This window comes from Homo sapiens, chromosome 2 (assembly GCF_000001405.40).
Source record: "Homo sapiens chromosome 2, GRCh38.p14 Primary Assembly".
Lineage (NCBI taxonomy): Eukaryota > Metazoa > Chordata > Mammalia > Primates > Hominidae > Homo > Homo sapiens.
Window position 1 is genome coordinate 234,512,978 of NC_000002.12, and position 5,257 is coordinate 234,518,234.

A 5,257-nucleotide genomic window follows, 5' to 3' on the forward strand; every position below is an offset into this window, starting at 1 on the left:
AGGCGGAGACACAGCTGCACACAGTGGGTTAGATGGACTTCCTGGACTAAAGCACAGCTGGAAAGTACCAGATGGTCCAGAGTCTAGCCCCATGATGTCTGGGTAACTAGGTAACGGCAATGGAGAAGCAGCAGAAATCAATGGAGAATAGTGTCTCGGCTACGTCGACCTGTAATTACGGCACTGAGTCATTATTTAGGAAGCTTCCCTAAAGCCTTTCCCTGCTCAAAAACAGCACCAGTTGGTACTCAAGTACAGACTCTCGAATGAATAATATTTGTAATTTTTTGAGTGACATTTCATCAAAAAAATTTGTCCCTGAAAAATTCAAATATCTGTCACAACTAAATGCTCTATTCACTTACTTGGAAAACATAGAAGCGGGAAATGTTTTGTGTTTTATTGGTGACTCACACTTTTCTGGGAAGAGCGTTCAGCTTAGGTTTTCACAGCAATGCTCCTGGAGTCAGTGAGATATGGGCTCTAATTCCACTCAGCGATCTGATGTGGGGTGAGGGCCAGCCGCGCTAGCTGCAGTCTCCCCGTCTGTGACGTGGAGATAATCACAGTGCCTCACTCATGAGGCTGCAGGGACAGCTGTTGGAGCCTGGGCATTTCAGGACTCAGCCCCATGCCTGGAGAAGAGCAAACACTCCACAATATCAGCTCTTGTCATTTTCTCTTGTCACATCAGGCCATATTGTTCATCTTAATTCTGTGCATGCTTATGTTGCATGTAAGTCCCTAAAATAACCCTTTACCAATGTGGCAGAGGTCACTTTTCTGGCCTGTAATTATTTCAATAAATGATTATCTGCAGATTTATCTAAAAATATGTTTCCTGAGTCTATGAGAGAATAACGAGTTGTACTGTCCACTTTCGATGGGAGATTGAGCGTATTTATGGAGTCTATTTAATTCACGTTCCATAGATATGTGAAACTGGTGCATATTGGACATGTATATTCAAATGCCTTCTTTATGAGAGCCCTGGTTTTATCTACCGAAACCTGCAAAAGATCATCTACCTCTGAAGTCCTAAGTATAATTAAATGACTATAAAAATGATTGTTTTGTTACAGTAGTTACCTTGCTTAGCAATTTAGTCAGTACCCCACAGGGGTAAAATGATGTGTTTCTTCTGCCTTTAACTTTTAAGGCAACATATGAAGTGAGATGTGGTTATGGTGTGTGTGGTGTGGTGTGTAGTATGGAATGTGTGTGTGGTGTGTAGTACTGTATGTGTGTGGTGTGGGGGGGGTGAATGTGTGATGTGGTGTGTAGTATGGAATGTGTGTGTGGTGTGTAGTATGGTATGTGTGTGGTGTGTGGGGGGGTGAATGTGTGATGCAGTGTGTATGTGTGATGTGGTGTGATGTGTATGTGTGGTGTGGCATGTGCTGTGTGGTGTGGTGTGTTTGTGTTTGTGGTAGGTAGAGTGTGTGGCTAGGTGGGGGTTGTGTGTGGGCTAGGTAGTGTGTGCAGTGTGTGTGTGGTGTGGTGTGTGTGCGTGTGGTGTGTGTATGTGAGATGTGGTGTGTTTGTGTGTGTGGTGTGTTTCTGTGTGTGGTAGGTGGTGCATGTGATGTGTTTATAGTATGGTGTGTGTGTGGTGTAGTGTGTGTGGTGTGTGTGTAGTGTGGTGTGTGTGTGGTAGGTTGTGTACCGTGGTGTGTGCATGTGGTGTGTGTGGTGTGGTGTATGTGTCTGTGATGTGGTGTGTATGTTTGTGATGTGTGTGTGGTGTAGTGTGTGTGGTGTGTGTGTAGTGTGGTGTGTGTGTGGTAGGTGCTGCGTGTGGTGTGTGTTTAGTGCGGTGTATGTGTGGTGTGTGTGGTGTGGTGTGTGTGGTGTAGTGTGTATGCGGTCTGTATGTGTGTAGTGTGGTGTGTGTGTGTGGTGTGGTATGTGAGGCGTGGTGTGTGTGATGTGTATGTGTGTGGGGTGTGGTGTGTGTGATGTGTGTTTCTGTGTGTGGTAGGCGGTGGGTATGGTGTGTGTGTAGTGTGGTGTATGTGTGGTGTGTGGTGTAGTGTGTGTGTGGTGTGTGTGTGTGGTGTGGAGTGTGGGATGTGGTGTGTGTGATGTGTATGTGTGTGGGGTGTGGTATATGTGATGTGGTGTATTGTGTGGGGTGTGGTGTGTGTGTGTGGTGTGGGGTGTGTGATGTGGTGTGTGTGTGTGGTGTGGTGTATGTGTGGGTGCTGTGGTGTGTATGTGTGTATATGGTGTGGTGTGCGGAGTGTGGTGTTTGTGATGGGGTGTATGTGTGGTGTGTAGGTGTGTGTGGTCCGTGTGTAAAGGGGTTGTGTTGCTGAGTCAGGGATGGGCATCAGCTGCGCCCCACACCCTCAAGGCCCCGTCTGAGGGATTGGGGGCTGTGTTCCCAGTTCCTCCGGGCGGAGCTGCCTCACTGGGAAGTCCCATGCAGGCTCTACGGACTTTTCCTGAGTGTGTCTCATAGGCCCAAACTCCTGGCCAGGGGCCGAGGCAGCCGTGGCATCGTGCAGAAGAGAGTTAGCACCACAGGCCTGAGGCCGCTGTCCTGTGCTTGCAAGATGGCCCTTGGCTGGTGTCTGGGACCTTCGGTTTGGGGAGGCTTCCCACCACTCCCCAAGCTGGTCAGAGGGCTCACTGTGCCTCCACGGTTTGTACGAACAATACGGTTTATGTTGAGTACCTGCTTTCCTTCTGGGAGTCTGGAATGTGAGTGTGTGCCAGGCAGAGGTGTCATGTGGCCAACCCAACAAAAACCCTGGGCACTGAGGCTCTAGTGAGCATGCCTGGTATAAAAGCTTGCACACATGTCACAGCTCATTACCGGGGGAGTCGGGCACTTCCTGGGTGACTGCTGGGTGAGAACTCTGGAAGCTTGCACCTGGCTTCCTCTGGACTTCCTCCGTGAGCCTCTCCTTTCCCATGCTAATTGTGTTTTGCATCCTCTTGCTGTGAGTACGACTGTATGCTGAGTCCCGTGAGTCCTCCCAGCAAATCATCGGCCTGGGGGTGGTCCTGGGGACCCCTGACATAACCATCTTCCTCGGAGATGTGTAGGGATGAAGCGAGGGACTCAAAGGCCAGTGAAAACCTCTCCAGTAGAATATCTCCTCATGCCAAGACCTCTTAGGCAATTCCTGGGTCTGAGTAGACTAGGTGTGATGATGAAAGACCCCTCATTCTTTTTTTTTTTTTTTTTGAGTCAGAGTTTTGCTCTTGTTGCCCAGGCTGGAGCGCACTGGCATGATCTTGGCTCACCACAACCTCCGCCTCCCGGGTTCAAGTGAGTCTCCTGCCTCAACCTCCCGAGTAGCTGGGATTACAGGCATGCGTCACCATGCCTGGATAATTTTGTATTTTTAGTAGAGACAGGGTTTCTCCATGTTAGTCAGGCTGGTCTTGAACTCCCGATCTCAGGTGATCCACCCACCTTGGTCTCCCAAAGTGCTGGGATTACAGGTGTGAGCCACCGCGCCTGGCTGACCCCTTCATTCCAATGTCATCTCACTCCTAGTTTCCGTAATGCTCGCCTAGGAAATTAGGTTGCTTTAAACATGAAAAGTCTGATTCTCTAAGCTGGAACATGGAATGGGCAGGAGAGAGATTTGGGATGATGGCAGACAAGCCACAAAGCTGCCCAGAGTCACGAAAAACCGAGGGAGCTTGTTTTTCTAACATTTGTATATGTGACAATGCTTTTAGCATTTATTTTTTTAATTTTCAAAACACTAAAAGTTTTTACAACGATAATTTCTTACTGTTAAAACACAGGAAGTTGAAAAATTTAAACAATCACATTAGCAGACTGTTAACATGTTTTGAAAAATTAAGCCTTAATGTTAGAACTTGCACCATTTTGAAATAATATAAAAACCTACTGCTTTCTACCTACTGCCTAAGAATCACAATCCCATCACAAACCCAACCCGAACATTTGAGAAGAGACTTGGGCTGGCTTTTTCTTTTTTTCTTAATGGATTAAATCTCTGCAGGTCAGCAATTCATAAGGATGGTTGAATTCCAGGGAACATTAATGCGATGCCATGCTCAGTGATCATGATTGGTCCTCAGTGCCGCGCTGCTCAGATCACAGATTACCGATGTCCAGACATTGCATTCGCTTGTAGGACTGGGCTAGAATTATAAATATGCATGTGCACATAGGAGCACACGAACACATGTGTACACACACACAAAGATGCATAGACATGTCAATCCCAGGGTAGCTAAGAGCATAGGTTCTGGAGTCAGATCTAAGCGGAAATCCTGGATTTCTACCTGCTGGTTTGTGATCATGGAGAACTTTCCTAACTGGCCTCAGCCTCGTTTTTCTTGTGTATAAGAAATGCATAATTATTCCAAGGTTCTGTAGGTGCTGTGAGGATTCAGTGAACAAAGTATTCAGGAGGCACTGTAGCCATGAGAGGTGGGTGGGCGGGAGGACTGCGGAGGGGCCTTGTGAGGAGCCGTAGGGGATTCACATGCTTACAGACAGGTGAAGGTAGACTGGGCTTCCTATCTCTCATAAGGGAGGGGCTCCCTCTGCCCTGAACAGAACTGAATTATTCTTCTCTGTGCCTCAGTTTCCTCCACTGTAACACTGGCATAACAATAAAGTCTACCTTATGTGGCCCTTTTGAAAATCACATGGATTAATCCGGGCAGAGTACTCGGAGGAGCACCTGGCCCAGCCTCAGCACTCAATAAATGTTTGCTACTATTATTACTATTATCCAAAAATATCTCTGCACTACGCTTTTCCGACATCTTACTTTGCACAATTTCTTGCGTACAATCTGTTTCCTTCATATCAAACAGATTGCAAATTTTTTTTCTGAAAAAAATAAAAATGAATTAAGAGAGTGTAGTAATCTAGAAAAGAGGGGGGAGAAAGGAGGGTTCCAACTGACATACAAAAAAAGAACTGATAATACAGAGAGGAAAGAGGAAAGGGAGTGTCATCCGGTGGGGATGAGGGTGCAGAAGGGGCGCCCTTGACCCCAGAAGTCAGGAAAAGCAGAAGCGCTGAGACTCAAAATGTCTGCACCATGGTGAGAAGTACCACCCTGAATATGTCCACTGTGAGACTGAAAGAGAGAAAATTCTTCTATTATCGTGTATACACAGCTGATATTCTTCAAGTATGTCATTTTTCTTGTTCAGGCGGGCTCACCTAGGAGAATACAAATGCCTGGCGGGTAAGGATCATGTATCATCGTCATCTAGAACCTTCCCCACGAGAGGCTTGAAGGAAGAATGG

At 46.9% G+C, this 5,257-nt stretch overlaps 1 annotated feature.

The window, feature by feature from the left end:
* Positions 246–795: a transcriptional cis regulatory region, noted in NCBI's record as "candidate enhancer chr2.7113 targeted for multiplex CRISPR interference". NCBI's record gives its function as "positively regulates ARL4C gene expression with high confidence in K562 cells {active_cell/tissue: K562}" and the evidence as "EXISTENCE:mutant phenotype evidence [ECO:0000015][PMID:30612741]".